The sequence below is a fragment of the Homo sapiens genome, chromosome 19 (genome assembly GCF_000001405.40).
Source record: "Homo sapiens chromosome 19, GRCh38.p14 Primary Assembly".
Classification (NCBI taxonomy): domain Eukaryota; kingdom Metazoa; phylum Chordata; class Mammalia; order Primates; family Hominidae; genus Homo; species Homo sapiens.
The window spans coordinates 57,240,875-57,263,163 of NC_000019.10; the positions used below are offsets into that span (position 1 = coordinate 57,240,875).

Here is a 22,289-nt window from a genome sequence, read left to right on the forward strand (position 1 = left end):
GGCCACAGGGTCCCGGTATGGCGATGGCTTTGACGGACCCGGCGCAGGTGAGTGGACAAGGTTTCGGCCTTGCTGCTTTTCTGCTAGTTCGGGGAAGCCTCCTGGGCAGGCCGGAAGCCAAGACAGCCACAGGATTCCTCTTTGTAGTTTTGTTTGTTTACGAAACGTGGAGCAGGCTCGTCACTTAGTTTATCTCCTGTCGTGGTAGTACCTGAGAGACTGAATATTGAAGCGGACAGTAGGCAGACTATACATCGATTATAGGGCTGTGACGTACAATTTTTTTGTAGCAACCTGCCCAGGAAACCAGCCTCCTGTTCTGCAATAAACTACTCTGGAAGCCAGTCTGCCTTAAGTTAGTCTTGCAAGGAGCTAGATTACTCTCTGGTGACATTTCAGGAGGCTAAACGGTAACTCCTGGAACAGTAGGCCCCAAATAGGACTTGATTTGTAACTGACTGTTCTAATTTTTGCCTCCGCCTCCAAAAGAGGACCAAGCAGAGAAAGCCATACGTGCTCAGCCTAACCAATCACATACGATGCCCCACTTCTAGTTAGCCCTTCTGCAGCTTTCCACTGCTAAAGTGTCAGGCCTCTGAAAGCTGCTTAATAATTGCTTGAAGGATGGATGAAGTTCCACTCCAGGGACTCCCGTCACACACATCATCCGAACTCAGCCTTGGCCTGCAAGTCCCTACCCGGTCCACTATGGCTGACCACCTCTGTCCTTGTTTCCTTCCTTTCCTCCCTGGCTCAGCGCTTCAGACACAGGTCCACTATGGCTGACCACCTCTGTCCTTGTTTCCTTCCTTTCCTCCCTGGCTCAGCCCTTCAGACATATCAATCTGATCACGCAGAGTTCTTTCCTACCCCTCAGCCTTCACCTTTACAGTTCATTCAGCCTCAGACACTATCCTCAGATCTCTGCAAGACCCTTTCACATCTTGTTGGCTCTGCTCAAATGTCACTTCTTTAAAGCGGCCTTTCATGGCAGTTCAGACTAAAGTAGTCCCCTTCTCACCTGCCCTTGGTCTAGCGTTTTTGTATAGAGAATCTGGCAAAGTTTTAGACACCTACTGAGTTGAGGTCTTAAAGGATTTTGTGGGGACAAAGAGCATAAATAATAACACAAGAACTGTAACGGTTGGCCTTCATTGAGTCCTTGATGTGAACTGAGAAATGGGCATTATTTATCATCTCATTTAATCCTGATCTCCTTAAAGTGACATTCTATTATAAACACTGCTGTACACAAGAGGAGGTCAAGACTCCGACCTGTTTAGTTACCTGCTGAAAGTCACATAGCACTTAAGTAACAAACTCATATTTAGCGTGTGGACCACCAGAGCCTTTGTTTTTACAGACAGTTGGCTGAGAAGCCCTGAGGTGAACTTTGCAGTCTTTCCAGCAAGTCACAGTGGCCATTGGAAGCGAAAGGCAGACATTCCACTAGAGAGGACTGTGTAGACAAAGGCAAAGTGTGTTGGTTGTTTAAGGAGGTCCAAGAGGACTTATGAGGTTACCATGGTTCCCCCCATCCCCACCTGCTGAGACATGGCCTGGAAGGGCAAAATCCTGTGGTCTTTTGTTGGATGTTCGTCCTGCCTTCAGCCTATAGGGCATTTTGGCCAGTCATAAGCCTGGGTTCTCATGACCACAGCCTGCATTATCTTCAGCCACTTGAGTTTTCTGGTCCTGAAGCACACTGGCCTTAGGGATACCTGCTGGCAGGACTCAGGGAAGGAAAAGGCTAATGGTTCATTATGCAATCTCCCTGGGGTCCAGGGGAGAGGATGAGCTGGTCCAGGCACTGCCCCTCGTCAGGCATTTGGTACTTGTGAATTTGGTGATGAGGGTTTTGCCCACATCTTGGGGATATTTTCAGGAGCTGCTAAAATAGATTAAATAGCAAAAATATGTAGAAATGCTTCACAACTGTATTATAGTAGATTCACGTGGGTGGTGGAGGATTATTGGGGTCACAGTATTAAACCCTGAAGCAGAGGGACCTGGGTTAAAATCCTGTCTCTTATATATAAATCATGCTTATAACATGTAAAACTCTGGCTGAACTTGGTGCTCACACCTGTAGCCCCAGTGCTGTGGGAGGCTGAGGTGAGAGGATCACTTGAGGCTAGGAGTTCGAGACCAGCCTGGGCAACATAGCAAGATCCCAGCTCTACCAAAAAGAAATAGTTGGGCGCAGTGGTGCGTTCCTGTAGTCCCAGCTACTTGGGCGGCTAAGGCAGAAGGATTGCTTGAGCCCAGGAGTTCAAGGTTACAGTGAACTCTGAGCATGCCATTACACTCCAGTCTGGGTAATAGAGTGAGACCCTGTCTCTGAAACAAACAAACAGAAAACACAAAAGACTAGGAGAATCTGTGGAGCTCCCTTAGCCTCAGGTCAGTGACTGTGACATGGAGGTGATTGGCGGTGGTGTTTAGTAATACTTCAGGGGCTGTGGGAGGATTAATAAAATCCCAAAGTCCAGTAAGCTCTGAATAACTCATGTCTGTTATTGGGAAAATGGGAATTCTGTATTCATCTGAAAATTGAGGCAGAGATAAATGAGGTCCCTGAGGTCACAAAACTGGCAAGTGTCAGTTTCAGGAGTTTGGATTCAAACTTGAGAAGTCTGACTTCAGAGTTTGGGACTTGTAGTTGCTTTAAAACAGAACATGAAGCTTCAGCATGAGCTGGACCAGTGAGGCTCAGGCACTGTGGTTGTCAACATTATTGCTATTATTATTGTCACTATTTCCTCATTTCTTTGAGGTCCTCGAACTCTAATTGTCTACATCTCGCCATCCACGAGTTATTGCCATTGTCTTCTGTTATTCTTTGATGGCTCCTATATAGGAGGCTTTTCTCTTTTACATTACAGTAATCTGTCCAAAGCAATGTCTGCCTTCCTCCTTCAGCCTGGTACAAAGTTAGGCCCTCAGGAGGCCCTCAGTGACTTGGGCCTTGATCTTGTTGCACCTTTTCCAGCAAAGCACATGCAATAGTCCCACAGCAAACTCTACTACCTCTATTTGACATTTCAGGTGTCTGTGACCTTTGATGATGTGGCTGTGACTTTCACCCAGGAGGAGTGGGGCCAGCTGGACCTAGCTCAGCGGACCCTGTACCAGGAGGTGATGCTGGAAAACTGTGGGCTCCTGGTATCTCTGGGTAAGGCCTTCCCCCTCCACCATGCAGGGGATCTGCCACCTCCTTCGTTCCACCCTCTGACTCCAGGCCTGATGGGTCAAGAAGTCCTCTCTTACTGGCCTTGCCTCCTTCCCACAAATTCAGTCATTTTCTACAACACTCACCTCTTCCTTTTTTTTTTTTTTTTTTTTTTGAGAGGGAGTCTTACTCTGTCACCCAGGCTGGATGCATTAGCACGAACTCGGGTCACTGCAACCTCCGCCTCCCAGGTTCAAGCGATTCTTCTGCCTCAGCCTCCCAAGTAGCTGGGAAGCTGGGATTACAGGTGCCCACCACCATGCCTGGCTAATTTTTGTATTTTCAGTAGAGATGGGGTTTCACCATGCTGGCCAGGCTGGTCTCAAACTCCTGACCTCAGGTGATCCGCCCGCCTCGGTCTCCCAAAGTGCTGGGATTACAGGTGTGAGCCACCACGCCTGGCCTACACTCACCTCTTCCTATACAGTCTCCATGCATCGCTTTGGACAAGAAATAAGAGTACTCTTTGGCTCTCAGCCAAAGGAGAGAAGCTGGTGGAAGGAAATGGGGTGTTTTGCAGACCTCAAAGGTAGGATTGCCAGCTGTATGTTATGAGGGGTTGAAGTAGGAACTGAGAACCGCCACGATGGGGTCCTGGTTTCTCTGTCTGGGTCTGCTCATGTCACTGTCTACTCTGTATGGTTTTTTCTGCCTCAGCGAGTTCAGGGGAAGAGTAACCACCCCAGGTTTTACTGTTTGTGACCCCTCCTTCCCCTCCAGATTTCTTGTCTGTTTCTCTGGCCTCTGTGGGGCGTGTTTGAGGCAGCAAATGCTGCTCCACCTCCAGCTCATACTTGCCTCCATCTCTCACCCACTGCCCAGCATAGACTGGCCTCTGTCTGCAGTTTTTTTTTTGAGTTCCAGAGCGGGATCTGCCTGGGTGGGCCTGGTTGCTCATGTATCTGCTCCACAGCCCAGTCTGTGGTGTAAGGGTTGGTGGGATGTTCACTAAGAAGGGTTGAGTCAGGCAGGCCCCAAGGAGACATTGACCTTCCGTCCCACCAGGTGTTATTCTAAACAACCTTCACGTCCTTCAATCACCTTCACATCCTCTGATTCTAAAGTCACTCTGCTGCAGCCTTGCTGGGCTTCTTGCTATTTCCCCAAGTGCCCACCCACCTCAGGCCATTGCATTTGCTGTTCTCTTTGATGAGTGTTCTCAGGGTAATTCAGCATTTCACATGGCCGCCCCTTCTCAGCACCACTTGCCTCCTCACCCAGCCCTTCCCTGACCACCGAATCTTGGGGAGGCCCCTTTCTCACCATAGCCTCCTCCCTTTACCTTTTTAATGTCTTTCTAAGCTAGTGTTTCTCAAACAGGGACGATGTTGAGCTTCAGTGGACACTGGGCAATGTGTGGAGACATTTTGGTTGTTAAAACTAAGATGATGGGCCAGGTGCGATAGCTCATGCCTGTAATCCCAGCACTTTGGGAGGCCGAGATGGGCGGATCACAAGGTCAGGAGATAGAGACCATCCTGGCTAACACGGTGCAACCCTGTCTCTACTAAAAATACAAAAAATTAGCCGGGCGTGGTGGCGGGTGCCTGTAGTCCCAGCTACTCGGGAGGCTGAGGCAGGAGAATGGCGTGAACCCAGGAGGCGGAGCTTGCAGTGAGCTGAGATTGCACCACTGCACTCCAGCCTGGGCGACAGAGCGAGACTCCATCTCAAAAAAAAAAAAAACCTAAGATGATAACATTGACAGCTAGTGGGTGGAGATGCTGCTAAACATCCTTATAATGCACAGGACAGATCCTTTCTCCTCCTCTTCCCCCGATCTCACAAACAAAGAATTACCTGGACCTAAATGTCAATTGTGCTAAGGCGAGAAGCTCTTTTTCAGAGAGTGCTTGGACAGACACTACATCAGCTGGTGCTGAGAGACACTTGAGGAAGTTGTTCTTTTATTTCTTCTCGTCTTGTCTCCTTAGCATTTGAGGAAAACTCTGGTTTAGTGCTGAGACTTAACGTCCTGCAAACTGTTGGTAATTTCCCCTTTTCTACAGAGGGAGCAGCCTTAGGCTCACAGCCCTGAACAAGCAGCATGAGCTCACAGGGACCAAAGAGCACTGTTTGTTTGTCTTGAGACAGAGTCTCGCTGTTGCCTCGGCTGGAGTGCAGTGGTTTGATCTTGGCTCACTGCAACCTGTGCCTCCTGGATTCAAGCATTTCTCATGCCTCAGCCTCCTGAGTAGCTAGGATTACAGGCAGGTGCCACCACGCCCAGCTAATTTTTGTATACGTTGTTTTGATTTATTGCTACATTTTCATGGTTACCTGCCATCAAGACAAGTGACTCTGGATTTTCCATTTACCAGAGTGATAAGGATTCCATTTTTGAAGAAATCTAAGAAAAATAAAAAGTGGATCACTTTTAAGAAAAGCAGCCCGGGCATGGTGGCTCATGCCTGCAATCTCAGCACTTTGGGAGGGCAAGGCAGGCAGATCACGAGGTCAGTTGATAGCGACCATCCTGGCCAACATGGTGAAACCCCGTCTGTACTAAATATACAAAAATTAGCTGGGTGTGGTAGCGCATGCCTGTAATCCCAGCTACTCAGGAGGTGGAGGCAGGAGAATCACTTGAACCAGGGAGTTGGAGGTTGCAGTGAGCTGAGATCGCGCTACTGCACTCCAGCCTGATGACAGAGCGAGACTTCGTCTCAAAAAAAAAAAAAAAAAAAGAAAAGCAGTTAACAGTCCAGATCCCCAGAGCACTGATTGGGTGTCTCAGGCCTGTTCCAGGCAGTGTTCATGCTCCATTTATTCTCACAGGATCCCTGTCCTCAGCAAAGTAAGGAAAATTTAGCCACTCCTGTGAGTCCCTCATCCAGTTTAACTTACTCAGCACAGATGAAACACCTTCATTTTATGAAGCTATCACTGAATGTTTTTGTGTAGAAAAAATTCTTCTCTTGTGAACTTTTTTTTTTTTTTTTGAGATGGAGTTTCACTCTTGTCTCCCAGACTGGAGTGCAGTGGTGCAAGATCATAGCTCACTGCGATCCTCACACCTTACCGTCTCCAGTAGCTGGGACTACAGATGCGAGCCACTGCGCTGCTATATGAAGTTTCTGTAAATATCCTTATGTCACCATATCACAGTAGGATGTTCAGTCTTTAAATATTTTAATGGTTCGTGAAATGCTGGGGTCTGGAGTCACTGACCTGCCCCTCATCCTGGCCGCTGGTCCCTGAGGATGAATCCTCCAGCTCACATCTCTGCCTCGTCACCACCCTCTGCCACCCACTCTGGTGCTCGTGGTTTCCTCCTTACTGTATTTCTTGGGAGAGTAGGGTTTGAAGCCAGAACGCTGGTGTCCAGCCCCAGCTCTGCTCTTTAAAAACTCCATGGCCTTGGGCAAGTTACTGAACTTGCCTGTGCCTCAGTGTTCTCATTGTTCAAATGAGGACTTAACCATATTCGCATCCCAGGGCTGTTGCCAGGGTCAAGGGTTATTTTATGAAAAGGCTCAGAACAGCACCTGGGAGACCAGGCTGCGTGCAGGGAGCCATTACAATCTCTGTTTCCACCAGTACTATTACCGTCGTCCTCATCATGATTATTGTCGTTGGCATGCCTTGACCTGGCACTTTCTGGGCAGCGTTGTGGAGCTTTGTGGTTAAACAGCACAGACAGAGATGGCAGGACCTGGGTTTCCTTATTGACTCAGCCATTCTCCAGTTCTGTGCTCTTCAGCAAATCACTTTACCTCCCCGAGCCTGGGTTTCTTTGTCAACAAAATGGTGTTGATTATGATATGGACTTCCTGGGTATACCGTGAGGAAATCCTCAACTGGAATCCTCATTTAATGGCTAGGCATGGTGGCTCACGCCTGTAATCCTAGCACTCTGGGAGGCCTAGGCGGGTGGATCACCTGAGGTCAGGAATTCAGGACTAGCCTGGCCATCATAGTGAAACCTCATTTTTACTAAAAATACAAAAAAATTAGCCAGGCATGATGGCACGCGCCTTTAGTCCCAGCTACTCAGGAGGCTGAGTGAGCGGAGATCGCGCCACTGCACTCCAGCCTGGGCAACAGACGCATTTAGTCTTTGGTTTAGAGGAAGAGCATTATAAAACATTGCTTAGGATGTTAAAAAAAAAAAAAAAAGACTTAGATAAGTGAAGATACATACCTTGTTCTGAATGAAAATAATCAATGTTTAATATTTAAAGTGTATCACTTTTTCTCTAAGATATTCCATAAATATTGTTCACTTTTTAATGCATTTAAATGCTTGGCATAGTCCCCTGGACATGGTTATAGCCTATAAATACTAGTTTTTGACTTACTATTAGGAGTAGAGATTCTGTGGCAGCATGACATGCCCTGCCCTTGGTTTCTAGATCACGTGCTAACTTTTTGTTCCCATGGATGGGTGTAGCTTCATTCCAAGGTCTGGTCCCCATCCTGAAGTCCCAGACTAGATTGAAGGTCTTTATTTCTTTTCACCCACATCCATGTGTCCACTTGCTTTCTCCATAAACAGGGTGTCCTGTTCCCAGACCTGAGCTGATCTACCACCTAGAGCATGGGCAGGAGCCATGGACCAGGAAGGAAGACCTCTCCCAAGGCACCTGTCCAGGTAGGAGCCAAGATCTGGGCAGGTCGGAGTCCCTGCTGGCTTGAGACTTCGAGGAGACCACTGGCCCTGGGATCTCTTGGGAAGCTTCTCACTGTGGCTTCTCTAAGGGTTTGGGAGCCTTGGAGCCCTTTAACCTGTGGTTTCTCCGTCCTCCCAGCCCCATCGCACTTGTCGCCACTCCTGGGGAGGAGTGAGGTGTGTGAACTGAGACTGGTCCTGGGGCTGCAGCCTTGTGTGCCGGAACCCTGGTTAGCCAGTCATCTACTCTGTGACCCCAGTGAAGTTTGTATATGAGTTTGGCTAAGTTAATACCAACTGCTGTATCCAACAAACTCCAAAATTTAAATGATTCACACATGAAAACTCTTTTTCACTCATACCAAGGTCTGTGTGGGTCAGCAGGGAACTCTGTACCACACAGTTATTCAGGACCTAGAGTCCTTCTGTCATCAACCTGTTGCTTTAAGGTTGTCCTGACATCTTCTTGCTGGTAGAGAATTAAGGGAATAAGGAAAGTCATACCCACTTCCAGACCTCCCCTCACATCTCACCCATGGGAACTGGGCATTTGGCTGTACTTGGGTCCATGAGTCTAGGAATTGTGGCTGAGCTGCCTGTCCAAGGAGAAGAGCAGATGGTCTGGTGAGCACCTACTCAGTCCACTACACTCAGTCTGTTCCTGAAAAATGATATTAGAAATTATTTTTATAAAAAACAAAAAAGAAAAACATTATTTTTATGCCATTGGGCAGTTTGAAGTTGTAATCATGTGATACATTAATGCATAAAACTGCATAGTTTCTGAGCCATAGTAAGTGACTTATCAAAATAAGCTATGAGTGTTACTCATGTCATATAAACATTGATGAGTGATGATACGTTACATTTCCTTCTGAACTCTGGGGAATAGGGCCTTTCTTACTCTCCCAATTTCTCTTTCCACTTATATTCTGCCTATCAGCCTCTCCCACCTTCTCCTTCCACCCATTCCCTGAGTGTCAATCAGACACTAAGAAGCAGTAGTTTGCCCATGTCTTCCTATATCTCCTGTTTTCCAAAAACCTCAGGGTGACATTTGACCTTCTGTGTCCCACACTCAGGCTGCTGAGGGCACTGAGGCCATCTGTCATGTGTGTGGATTGGTGCCACTGCAGAGCCTTGGCCTCTGCCCGCGTGGGTTCCTTGAGCTGCTCATCCAACCCTGAGTGTCTGTGCAGTCCCTGTTCAGCCCTTCAGAGTCTGTTCCAGATTGTCCCCTCCTCAGTGCCACATCTGCACTTGAAAATCTCAAAAGCACAAAACTCAACATGCCTAACAAGGAACCCATGATCTTGCTCACTCCTGCCACCTCCCAAGTTTCCGTGAATGGTTCTGCCATCCAGGCAGATTAGGGGACTGGCCCCAACCTCAGACAAGTCAACCCCTCCACCTCCATGAGTCCCTGCATCCAGCCTATCTCCACAGCCTTTCGATTTCACGTCATGCATGCCTCCTGAATTCATCCCTCTATCACCTCCATGAGACCTATCCTTCTGCTTTTTTCTTTTTTGAGATGGAGTTTTGCTCTTGTTGCCCAGGCTGGAGTGCAATGGCGCGATCTCGGCTCACCGCAACCTCCGCCTCCCAGGTTCAAGCGTTTCTCCTGCCTCAGCCTTCCGAATAGCTGGGATTATAGGCATGCACCACCACATCCGGCTAATTTTGTATTTTTAGTAGAGATGGAGTTTCACCATGTTGGTCAGGCTGGTCTCGAACTCCCGACCTCAGGTGATCTGCCCGCCTCGGCCTCCCAAAGTGCTGGGATTACAGGCGTGAGACACCGGGCCCGGCCCCCTTATGGTCTTACTCTAAACTCTTATCATCTTTTTTCTAGGGGATGTTAATAGACTCCCAAAACTTAATCTCTGTATCTGCTTTGTGCCTCTGGTCAGCTCTTTGTCCTGCGTGGGGTACTCCAGCATTCAGACCTTGTTCCAGACAGTTAATATTTCCCCAGCAACTCAGCATATGACTGCTGATGTATTAGCAGGTTTTCGTGTTGACAGTGTCATCTACTTCTATTGTTTAATCGGCAGTCCTTACACATTCCTCTCAACCTCTCATATCGGTAGCTTCTCTTTTCCCCTGGTGGAAGAGGTCTTACCCTTGGCCACGGCCAGTTTTTTCAAGAGTTTATATTATACGTTTTCATGGACGTTTTTTCTTCACTTATATTCCGCTTGTTTTGTAACTTCATCCTTTCTGTACTCAACATAAAAATATGCTCAACTTCCTTACCCTTGAAGAAAATTCAACAATTCAGTGTTCATGGTTCACAGTGTATTCATATATTCATTCACTGTCTGAGCACTTAATTGTTTACATGTTTTTATATCAGTGATGCTGTGGACATTTATGTATGTTGTTCATCTTTCACATGTGTAGGGACACATTTTTGATGTTTCTGGAGTGAAATAATTGGATTATAGATTATGCAAATGTTCTAGTTTGCAAGATCATTCTCATTGTTTTCTAAAGGGCCTATATCAAAAAATTCCTCTCAGGAATTTTTGGAAGGTTCCATTGATCCATATCCTATCTAATACTTGAAACTATAAGGCCCCTCAATTTTTGCCGATTAAATGGACACAAAATATTATCTGTTGTGCTCTTGATTTGCATTTTCCTCATTGGTAGGGTGGTTTAGTGTCTTTCATGATTCTGAGCCAATCTATATTTTCTTCTGTGAGATGTTATTTGGTGATAAATGCCTTTTTTTCAATTAACTTCTTTGGCTTTCTCTTTTTGATTTTATTTTTGTACATTATAGATACCTATCTTTTATCAGTTACATTTGCTGCCGGTATATTCTTCTAGTTTTTAATTTTGTCCTTCCACTCTTTTTAAAGTATCTTTTGTTCAATGAGTTCCTTACATAGCGTAGTCTGATTTATGTTTTTTTTTTACGTGATTAATGATTTTGTACCTTGTGGAAAAAATGTTGCTTTACCCTAATGTCAAAAAGGTATTCTTGTTTATTTTATTGTAAGTTGTAAAACTTGCCATTTGGCATTCAAGTCTTTATCAATCTGAAGTTGATTTTGAGTATAGAATGTGATAGAATACAATATTTCCATTCCCCGTGTTGGTAGCCAATTTTTCTAGCTCTAATTCCTTAGTAGTCTCTCATCACTGAGGTGCTGTGCCTCTTTGCCATCTACCAAAGCCCCATCTATGTGCAAGGGGATTTCTGAGCTCTCTGTTCTTCTTTATTCCCAGTTTGCATTATGTCTGTGCCAGAGTGGTACCTCTGCCTTATGAGCTCTGTCCTGAGAGTGGCACTGCTCTTCACAGCTGTCACCTAGGTCAGAATCTTGGGAATCAGTCCCCCTGTGCCTCATCTTTCCCTAGATTCTCATCACCACCACCCTCTCATGCACTGTAGCTCATTTGCATATTCTTTCTCCTAAGGCTATAGTGTCTTTCTCACATTCTCTCGTGACAAGTGGGACTTACTTCACTGGGTACCTTCTATTGGAAAACTGCCTTGATCTTTTTCTACCCAGGATTAGCCAAACTCAAGATAAGGACACAGTCCTCCAGGACTTTGTCAAGTCTACCCAAATCCTCTTAATTCCAACTGCAAATTCAGGGATTTCCTGAAACCAACCTTAGGTTTCATAACTTGCTAAAAAGACTCACAACACTTTCTAAAACCTATTATACTCACAGTTTTGTTTATTACAGACAAAGCATACAAATTAGAAGAGGACACGGGATGTGGGGCTGAAGGGGTTCCAAACACAAAGCTTCCTCAGTAACTTGTTACCCACCCAGCATTGAGTGTAAAATATGTGCACAGAGCATTGCAAACCCAGGAAACTCACTGGAGCTCTGGTTTTTAGAGTTTGTTGAGCTTCATTACACAAGCACGGTTAATCGAGACATTGCCCACATTGCCATGTGAAGTTTCCAGCCTTCGTCCCTTTTCCAGAGTTCAGCTGATATCTTGTGGCTCAGAGACCTAACCTTCTACTCACTGGTTGGTCTTTCTGGTGCCACCAGACCTCAGCCAGAGTCATCTATTTAGGATAAACTATTTAGGTACCTATAATGAGTTACCTTTATATAAATATTTAGTCTGGAATTGAAGCGATATCTCCACTCTAGGCCCTGTCCCCTCACCTGGTCTCTCTGCCTGGTCTCCCTTTCAAGGAGTCAGGAATCCAAGGAAAATAAAAGAAACAAATTATAGATCTGGGGTTCAAGATGGCAAAATATAACAGACATAAAGGCACCATTTATAACTTCATTTTTTTTACTGAAGTGGTGAGTTTGTTTCTTCTCTTTTTACATTACTAACAAGCCCTTCTGTGTGTTGGATTTCTTTCAGGTGACAAAGGAAAACCCAAGAGCACAGAACCTACCACCTGTGAGCTAGCCTTGTCTGAAGGAATCTCTTTTTGGGGACAACTAACACAAGGAGCTTCAGGGGACTCCCAGTTGGGGCAACCCAAGGATCAGGATGGGTTTTCAGAAATGCAGGGAGAACGCTTGAGACCAGGGTTAGATTCCCAAAAGGAGAAGCTTCCTGGAAAAATGAGCCCCAAACATGATGGTTTAGGGACAGCTGATAGTGTGTGTTCAAGGATTATACAGGATCGAGTCTCCTTAGGAGATGATGTCCATGACTGTGACTCACATGGATCAGGTAAAAATCCAGTTATTCAGGAAGAGGAAAATATCTTTAAATGCAATGAATGTGAAAAAGTGTTTAACAAGAAACGCCTGCTTGCTCGGCATGAGAGGATTCACTCTGGAGTGAAGCCCTATGAATGCACAGAGTGTGGAAAAACCTTTAGCAAGAGTACATACCTCCTGCAGCACCACATGGTCCACACTGGGGAGAAGCCCTATAAGTGCATGGAGTGTGGGAAGGCTTTTAATCGGAAGTCACACCTTACCCAGCACCAGCGGATTCACAGTGGAGAGAAGCCTTATAAGTGCAGTGAATGTGGAAAGGCCTTCACCCACCGCTCCACTTTTGTCTTGCATAACAGGAGCCACACTGGAGAAAAACCCTTTGTGTGCAAAGAGTGTGGCAAAGCCTTTCGAGATAGGCCAGGTTTCATTCGACACTACATCATCCACAGTGGTGAGAATCCCTACGAGTGCTTCGAATGTGGCAAGGTCTTCAAACACAGATCATACCTCATGTGGCACCAGCAGACTCATACCGGGGAGAAGCCCTATGAGTGCAGTGAATGTGGGAAGGCCTTCTGTGAGAGCGCAGCGCTGATTCACCACTATGTCATCCACACTGGAGAGAAGCCCTTTGAGTGCCTCGAGTGTGGGAAGGCTTTCAACCACCGATCCTACCTCAAAAGGCACCAGCGGATTCACACTGGGGAGAAGCCATATGTGTGTAGTGAATGCGGAAAGGCCTTCACCCACTGCTCTACTTTCATCTTGCATAAAAGGGCCCACACTGGAGAAAAACCTTTCGAGTGCAAAGAGTGTGGGAAAGCCTTTAGCAATAGGGCAGACCTCATTCGCCACTTCAGCATCCACACTGGAGAGAAGCCCTATGAGTGCATGGAGTGTGGAAAGGCCTTCAACCGCAGGTCAGGCCTCACAAGGCACCAGCGGATTCATAGTGGAGAGAAGCCCTATGAATGCATCGAGTGTGGGAAAACATTTTGCTGGAGCACAAACCTCATTCGACACTCTATCATCCACACTGGAGAGAAGCCGTATGAGTGCAGTGAATGTGGAAAGGCCTTCAGTCGCAGCTCGTCCCTCACTCAGCATCAAAGGATGCATACTGGGAGAAATCCTATCAGTGTAACAGATGTGGGAAGACCTTTTACAAGTGGGCAGACCTCAGTCAACATCCAAGAACTTTTATTGGGGAAAAACTTTTTGAATGTCACCACTGAGGAAAATCTTTTGCAAGAGGAAGCATCTTACATGGCATCTGATCGTACATACCAAAGAGAAACCCCACAAGTGTCTTCACTGTGAGAAAACCTTCTGTTGCCAAATGTCATTTGTCACCTAAGGAGTCATATTAGAAAATCACGCAGCTTAGAGCCTTATTCTCCATCCGAATTCATCCTGGAAAAACACCCAGTGGTTATTACGCACTTGGGAAAACCTTTAGCTCCATCTTTCTCATTAGTTTACAGTGCAATGTTATCTCAGGAATTTTTATAAACAGAAAGAGGTGACATAGAAAAGAAAATGAAATGCAGACACTGCTTTTATACTGTTGTCTTGTATGTACATTTCTGTCCTGTGTCAGGAAAGTTAGTAAGGGAAGGTCTGGAAACTTACTCAATGTCTTTGTTCTACAACATTGTCTCTTCTTAAGAAGCATTGTTTTTATGAGAAATAATGAAGCCTTGAGTTATGAAATACTTTTATATTTAAGGATTAAAAGAAACATGAATGCGCACATTTTATTGTACCACTTAATACTGTTTAGGTCTTTGATTTTTTAAAAAAATTCTTTTTTAATGGGTTTTAAACACTAACACTGAGAATTTTTCTTGATTCCCATCTGTTGGTTTACTTGATTGCTATAGCTGTATGGTAAATCTCAAAATTAGGTAATGTGATTTCTTTTTTCTTACTATTTTTATTTAAAATTCATTTAGCATTCCTAGTTTGACTTTCCATATACACTTTAGGATTGGTTTTTCTGTTTTTCAAATATTCTTGCTTGGATTTTGATAGAAATTGAGTTAAATCTATAGATCAATGTGTTGGAAATTGGCATCTTAGTCTTCCAATTCATGAACATAGCCTATCTTTTCATTATTTAAATTTTCTTTGATATATTTCATTACTGTTTTATAGTTTACACAGTATAACTCCTGCACATTTAAAATAAGAATTATAGCTGCATAGTTTTTTGAGTGATTGTAAATGGCATTGATATTTAAAGTTTCAATATTCACATGATGTTGGCTAGTATACAGAAACATTATTTTTTCAATCTTATTTTGCTGTCTTGCAACCTTCCTAAACTCATTATTTCTTGCCATTTCTTTTGGGAGAATCCTTAGGATTTTAAATATAGAAATGTCATTTGCAATTTGGGACAGTTTTATTTCTTGCTTCCCATCTGTATACCTTTTATTTGCTTTTCTCATGTTATTGTACTAGGTAGGATTTCCAGTGTGATGTTGAATACGAATAGTGACAAGTTATCCATGCCTTGTTCCTGATATTAGGGGGAAATGTTCAGTTTCTCATTATTATGATGTTGAAAGTTGCTTCCAAAGAGTTTCTCTATCGAGTTTAGAAAGTTTCCCTCTATTCCTAATTTGCTGGGATTTTTTTGGTTATTATTAATAAGTGTTGAATTTTGTCATATGCTTTTTCTCCACCAATTGATTTAATTATGTGATGTTACTTCTATAGTCAGTTGATATGATGTGTTACCTTGATTGAGTTTCAAGTATTGAACCAGCCTCACATCTTTGTGATAAGCCCTACTTGATCATGGAGTATAATTTTGTTTGTGTACTATGCTACAGTATTTCATTTGCTAGTATTTTGTTGAGGAAGCTTTCCTCTGATTTCATGAGTGATAATCTGTAGTTTTCTTTCTTCAACTGTTACTGTTTGGTTTTGATGTCTAGATGATAACTAACCTCCTAACATGAATTGGAAGGAATTCTCTTCTGTTTTTTTGGAAGATCATGTGTAGAATTGGTGTTATTTGTTCCTTTAATGTTTGGTAGCTTTCTCCAGTGAAGAAGTGGGACCTGGAGATTTTCCTTTTGAATGCTTTTTAATTATGTATTTATTTTATTTAATAGGTATAGAACTATTCAGAGTATTTCATATTGGATGAATTTTTATAGATTTTCTTAAGGAAGTGTTCATTTTATGTAAATGTTCTAATTTGTAGCATTCTTTGAAATATTTCCTTTTATCCTCTTGATGGCAGCAGGATCTGTACTTATGTTCCTTGTTGTATTCTTGATATTGGAAATGTATCACTTATTATTGTCAGTCTTTGTAGACATATGTCAATTTCATTGATCATTTCAAAGAAATAGCACTTTATATCACTGATTTTTCTCCAGTCTCTGTTCTTAATTTCACTGATATCTGCTCTGATGTGTATTGTATCCTTTCTCCTACTTGCTCTGGTTGTATTTGACTCAGTGGTTTCCTGACGTGGATGTTTAGGTTATTGATTTGAGGCTTTTTTTCTTTTTTAATATAAGCTTTAAGTTCTATACATTTTTCTTACACTGCTGTTAGTTTCATCCCACAAGTCTTAATATGCTTTTGATTATCTTACTCAGTTCTAAGATTGCCTGATTCCTTTTGAGACATCTTCTCTAACCCAGGAATTATTTAGAAGTATATTGTTTAATAGTGTTTGGAGTATTCCCTGCTATTTGTTATTGATTTCTAATTTGTTTTGCATTTGATGTTACTGTTGAAATTTGTTGACTTTTTTTCCTTATGACCCAGGATATAGGCTGTCTTGTTTTACATAGCTGCTTGAAAAGAATGTGTGTTCTCGGTCATTTGGTGGAGTTTCTGTAAAAGTTTGTATGATCCTGTTAGTTGGTGGTGTTATTTAGGTCTCCTGTATCCTTGCTGATTTTCTGTCTAGTATTTCTATCAATTGCCAAGAGAAGGATGTTGAAGTCCTGAGCTATAATTGTGGAATTACCTATTCCTCCTTTAAGTTCTATCAGTTTTTGCTCCACATAATTTAAAGCTCTGTTGTTTGGTATATACACATGTAGGTTTGCTTAGTATTCTTGGTGTATTGACCCTTTTATAATTAAGTAATGTCCCTTTTTGTTCCTGTTAATACTCTTATCAATTTTTATCTGATATTTGTGTGGTCAGTCTTACGTTTTGGTTAATGCTTGCATGATTTACACTTCATCATTTTTTTAAACCTTATCTATATCACTATATTGGGAGTAAGTTTCTTGTGAATGGCGTATATTTGGGCTGTGGTTTTATATCCAGTTTGCGTATCTTTTTTTTTTTTTTTTTTTTTTTTTGAGACGGAGTTTTGTTCTTGTTGCCCAGGCTGGAGTGGAGTGGTGCGATCTCCGCTCACTGCAACCTCCGCCTCCTGGGTTCAAGTGATTCTCCTGCCTCAGGCTCTTGAGTAGCTGGGATTACAGGCATCCGCCACCATGCCTGACTGATTTTTTGTATTTTTAGTAGAGATGGAGTTTCACCATGTTGGCCAGGCTGGTCTCGAACTCCTGACCTCAGGTGATCCACCTGCCTCAGCCTCCCAAAGTGCTAGGATTACTGGTATGAGCAACCACGCACAGCATTTTTTTTTTTTTTTTTTTTTTGAGACGGAGTCTTGCTCTGTCGCCCTGGCTGGAGTGCAGTGGCGCAGTCTGCAACCTCTGCCTCCCGGGTTCAAGCCATTCTCTTGCCTCAGCCTCCCAAGTAGCTGGGATTACAGGTGCCTGCCACCACACCTAGCTAATTTTTATATTTTTAGTAGAGACGGGGTTTCATCATGTTGGTCAGGCTGGTCTCAAACTCCTGACCTCAGGTGATCTGCCCACCTCAGCCTCCCAAAGTGCTGGGATTACAGGTATGTGTCACTGTGTCTGGCCCCAGTTTGCATATTTCTGTCTTTTATTGGTGTATTTAGACCATTTAAAGTTTACAATAATTATGTTAGTGCTATGTCTGCTATTTTATGATTAGTTTTTTGTGTTTCCTGTTGCTTCTTTCTTGGTTTGTTTGGGTTTTTTTTTTTTTGTCTTTAACATTTTTTAGAATTCCATTTGATATATTTGTAGTGTTTTTTAAATATATTTCTTTGTATTTTTGTATTAATTTTTTAGTGGTTGCTTTAAGTAGTATAATGTACATATGTAACATAATTACAGTTAATGGTATGAAAAATTTAGCACTTTGATGTATAGAAACCTTACTTGGTCCCTTCACCTTGCCTGTTAATATAATTGTCTAAAGTAATTCCTCTTCAAAATTGAGCACCATGTTGGAAAATGTAATTTTTGCTTCCACTGTCAAATATATTTTACAAAAGTCACAGGAAGTATTGCTTGTTGATCTCTTTACCCATTCCACTATTCTTTCTTGAAATTCTAAGCCACCTTCTATTAACATTTTCTTTCTGTTTGGCGAACTTGTGTAACCTTTTTTCTAGGGTCAGTCTGCTGGTGTCTCTAAAAGTGTCTTTATGTTCCCTTCATTCCTGAGGGATATTTTTGTGGGATAATAGGATTTAGGGTCTGCAGTTCTTTTAGTACTTGAGAAACATGTTTGTTCCTTCTGTCCGCTATGGTTTCAGATGAGAAATCTGTTGCCATTTGAACCATTGTTCCCTAGTTCATAATGTGCCATTTTTATCAACCTGCGTTCAAAGTGTTTTGTTTTTTTTGTAGTGTTCAGAAGTTTGGTTATGAGGTGTGTGACATGGAATTTTTTTGAGTGTATCATGTTTGGTTTTTGTTTAGCTTTTTGATTTGTCGGTTTATGCCCTTTGCCAAATTTGGGAATTTTTAACCATTATTTCTTGAAATATTTTTTCATCCCTACTCTTTCTCCTCTCTGTGATATGAATGGTAGAGCTTTTGTTACTGTCTCAGAGGTCTCTTGTGCTTTCATGTTTACCCCCTTTTTCTGGTCTATTTTTCCCTTTTTTTCATATTGGTTAATTTCTGTTGACTTTTTTTCAGCTCACTGATTCTTTTTTTCTGCCATATGCAGTCTACTGTTGAGCTTGTCCAATGAGTTTTCGTTTTGGTTTTTGTATTTTTCAGTTGTTTAATTTCCATTTGTTTTGTTTTGTTTTGTTTTGTTTTTTTGAGACAGACTCTTTGCTCTGTTGCCCAGGCTGGAGTGCAGTGGCGCGATCTCTGCTCACTGCAAGCTCTGCCTCCCGGGTTCATGCCATTCTCCTGCCTCAGCCTCCCGAGTAGCTGGGACTACAGGTGCCCGCCACCATGCCCGGCTAATTTTTTGTATTTTTAGTAGAGACGGGGTTTCACTGTGTTAGCCAGGATGGTCTCGATTTCCTGATCTGGTGATCCACCTGCCTCGGCCTCCCGAAGTGCTGGGATTACAGGTGTGAGCCACTGTGCCTGGCCTCCATTTGGTTCTTTTGTACATCTTTGATTTCTTTGCTTAGTTTATAATACTAAAGGGCTCAGAAAACAGAAAAAACTAAATTCCAGAGTCATGGTTTTCTGGTGGTTTGTCTCAATATTTGAATAGAAATCCTAAATTATCTGGAGGAGTAGAAGTCCTGTAATCTTTTATATTGGGCTTCTTAAATATTTCTGTCAACAGATCTTATATCAGGGTGATCTGCATATCATTCAGAGTTACGTACTCCACGGGAAGGTTGTATGTAAAATCCTCCAGCTCTGTAAGCCTTGTTATATCCTCAATGGAGAAGGGGTCATTCCTTTTCTAAGATCACTCTTACACTTTTTTATTAGACACACACACACCCTTCCCCAACCAAACTTGTCTAAGTCCTCTGTCTTTCATACTCTTGTTTAGTCTTTAACTTCTCCTTATTAACCAGCTTCTTTCCCATAATGTATAGCTTTAGTCGGATCTCAAGCCTCGTTTCCAACCTATTTCACCCTTCCTTGCCTATCAAGCTCTGGTTATTCTTTCTTCCACACACATGCCCTGAGTAACTATTCTGTGCACTGTCGCCACCCCTTTACATTTCCTTTTACTCCCCAGATACTACTAAATGGCTTCCACCACCGTTGCCTGACTTAAGCACGTCTCAGAAAGGTCCCTTTTGACCCCCTCACTCTCTTTTTGGACCTCCATACTGCTAAATCTCTGACTTGAAGGTCCTTTCCTGGCTTCTGTGAATTCCTGGCTTTTTTCCTTTTTAGGGTCTGTGTCTTTCTTCCATCTGTAAAACAGCTTTACTTCCCAGCATCCATCATGATCATTGCTGTTTTCTAACTTGTCCTTCACCCCATGACTGAGTTAATTTGCGCTGAAGACACTTTACTCTCAATTATCTACAGTGTTTCCCTAAATCTGTGTCTCCAGGTTGGATGTTTCTCATGTCGTTAACCACTGGTCATCCTTCCACACCTTTTCTGTATTTGCACTCACTGAGCCTATATGCATGTATCATGTGGCCATGACCTTGGCCGTGGGGATGCACCCATAATCATCATAAGAGAACACAAATTATTACTGTGTATCAGACATTGTTTCGAATGTTTTACATGCGTCAGCTCTTTTAACCTTTATGACAACTCCATAATGTTATTTCCCCCCTTTAACTGATTAGAAAACTGAGGTACAGAAAGATTAAGGAATTTGTCAAAGATTTCACAATTATGAAATTTGGGTTTGGGGACTGGAAGCCACTGCACTGGCTTCAGAATCCATGTCCTTAACCACTTTATTGCTTCTCATAAGGTGGGTCTTTGTTTCCTGGTCATCACTTGTTTTTACTAAAATGGGTCAAACTGTGCTCATTTATTTATAATCTACTATTCTTATTTGACAGTACATCTTGGCCATTCCTTCAAGCAAATGAGATAAACCAGACTCACTCTTTAATGCCTGCATAAGCTATTGTGACTGTAGAAAAGACGGAGAATGTCTGGGTTTGAGGATATGTGGGAGGGGTGGGGAGAAGGAGTAGAGAAGGGCTAAGGCATGCATGTTGTTTTAGGTGTGTTTGAGATGCCTGAAGAACATCAGTGTATCCCCCTAATTTCTGTCATGTTACTCAAACCAGACACATTGTGGCCATTTCTTTTTCCTTTATCATTCCCACGTCCGGCCACTGCCCCATTCCTTTTTGTTCCGTAGTAGACCCTCAATATATATGTGTGTGTTGGTAAATGGCCATACACAGCAGGGTATTTTTTATTATTATTTTCAGTTCCCTCAGCGCGTTTACCACAAAGCTGTGCATATAGGTGGCACCATATATGGCGTACCTTGACCTCGAAGAGAATCTACATGGACTTTTATGGACCTACGTACACAATTTTAGAAATCATAATAAATGAATGCTGGAGTCCTCAAGACCCCTTCCAGATTTGATTTGCTAGGAAGACTCACAGGACTCAGCATTTTGTCATACTCAATGGCTATGATTTACCACACCGAAAGAATCCAGAGCAAACTCAGCAAAAGGCTCAAACCCAAGTCCAGAGGAAACCAGGCACAATCTTTGAGAATCTTAATGAAATCACACAGGATGTGCTTCATTGAAGCTCCATCTGGGACTTAAAACAACACACGTGAGATGTGTTCCAGGAAGTCGTCTTGAGCACCCATTGCTCAGAGTTTATATTGGACTTGCTTTCTAGCACATACCACAATTGTAGACCTCCAGAAGAACAGGAGGTGTTCAGCGTAAGACAATTTAGGCACACGGAGCTACTTCTCATTACTGGGAACAATGGGAAACTTCCCAAAACCTAAAGTACAGACTCCAGCCAAGGATGAACCTTGCAAGATCAAAGAATAGCAGTCTCTGGCCTGCTCTGTTCTCTTTTTCACAGTAACTTAAATGGAAAAATGCTGAGTTAGCTTAAGTTTCTGTAACAAACATTAAGCAAATAAAATTTTCTATAACAGAAATAAGCCATAGCTTTGAGATGAAGGCTTATATACGTGTAAACCATTGTAACCAAGAAAAAAAAAAAAAGTCAGAGTCACAGTGAAAATACTTAACAAACTAGCCAGGATTTAATTCAGTGATGACAGGGAACAGAGGAAGTCTTGTGAGAAAGGATCTTGCCTCTGCCTAGTATCTTTCACAGATAGGCTTCAAGTGGTTTGATTTGCAGATACACCCTTTCTTGGCCTTTATTTCGGCAAAGATGTGATGGGTAGGTAAATGCCGTGTTCTTTCCCTAGCACGTATGTCAGTTTCTCATCCACTCTTTGTTCTTGCTATTGAAAGTTGTAGCTTCTGGCTACAACAGAGATAGTTGAAGAATATGGAGTTCGCCATAATTTATCATTAAATGTGGATAATTTGAGATTAAAGAATATGTTGTTGCAGGCTTAGTCACTTTGATGGATCTGTCTGTGAGTTTCACTTGGAGGAAGTGGGAGCAGTTGGCTTCAGCTGAGAGGGCCCTTACAGAGACATGATGCTAGAGACCTTGAGAAATCTGGTCTCTTGTATATGTAACTCCTCTTTGTACTCAGACTCCGGCCCACAGATAGCCTTTCCTTTCCACTGTGGAAAGTTGGGGAGGCTCCACAATGCTCAGTGATGTATTTCAATTTTGAGAATTGAATATTTTTAATGATTGCTAAGAGATGGATTATTTTTGCTCATAGCAAAATCTGTTTGTGTTTCATATCTCACAATTGGAAGGTCTCAGCTAAATTGTAAATGGACAGTTTCTTTTGCCTCTTTCGGAGTAGTGTCAAGAGTGTGGACCTGGGAGACAGACTACCTGCTTATACTTTCTGTCCTTGTTCCTACCTGCTGGA

The 22,289-nt window shown here is 42.9% G+C and overlaps 1 protein-coding gene across 2 annotated transcripts in view, besides 2 other annotated features; it reads left to right on the top strand.

The window, feature by feature from the left end:
* Nucleotides 1–55: part of a silencer, noted in NCBI's record as "silent region_11073", that runs on past the window's edge. NCBI's record gives its function as "represses an Ori minimal core promoter by ATAC-STARR-seq in GM12878 lymphoblastoid cells {active_cell/tissue: GM12878}" and the evidence as "EXISTENCE:reporter gene assay evidence [ECO:0000049][PMID:35858748]".
* Nucleotides 1–21,854, top strand: part of ZNF805 (zinc finger protein 805) — a 22,097-nt gene extending 243 nt beyond the window's left edge. Inside the window, exons 1-4 of one of the 2 annotated variants that reach the window (NM_001023563.4) lie at nucleotides 1–47; nucleotides 3,049–3,175; nucleotides 7,731–7,826; nucleotides 12,199–21,854. The exon at nucleotides 1–47 is cut by the window's left edge and continues 243 nt beyond it. In NM_001023563.4, coding sequence (NP_001018857.2) covers nucleotides 18–47; nucleotides 3,049–3,175; nucleotides 7,731–7,826; nucleotides 12,199–13,829 — 1,884 coding nt within the window. In that variant the 5' untranslated portion in view covers nucleotides 1–17 and the 3' untranslated portion in view covers nucleotides 13,830–21,854. The remainder of the gene's footprint in view (nucleotides 48–3,048; nucleotides 3,176–7,730; nucleotides 7,827–12,198) is intronic. The other variant, NM_001145078.2, reaches the window with a different exon arrangement.
* Nucleotides 5,167–5,461: an enhancer, noted in NCBI's record as "tiled region #2652; HepG2 Activating DNase matched - State 5:Enh". NCBI's record gives its function as "activates a minimal TATA promoter and a strong SV40 promoter by Sharpr-MPRA in HepG2 cells {active_cell/tissue: HepG2}" and the evidence as "EXISTENCE:reporter gene assay evidence [ECO:0000049][PMID:27701403]".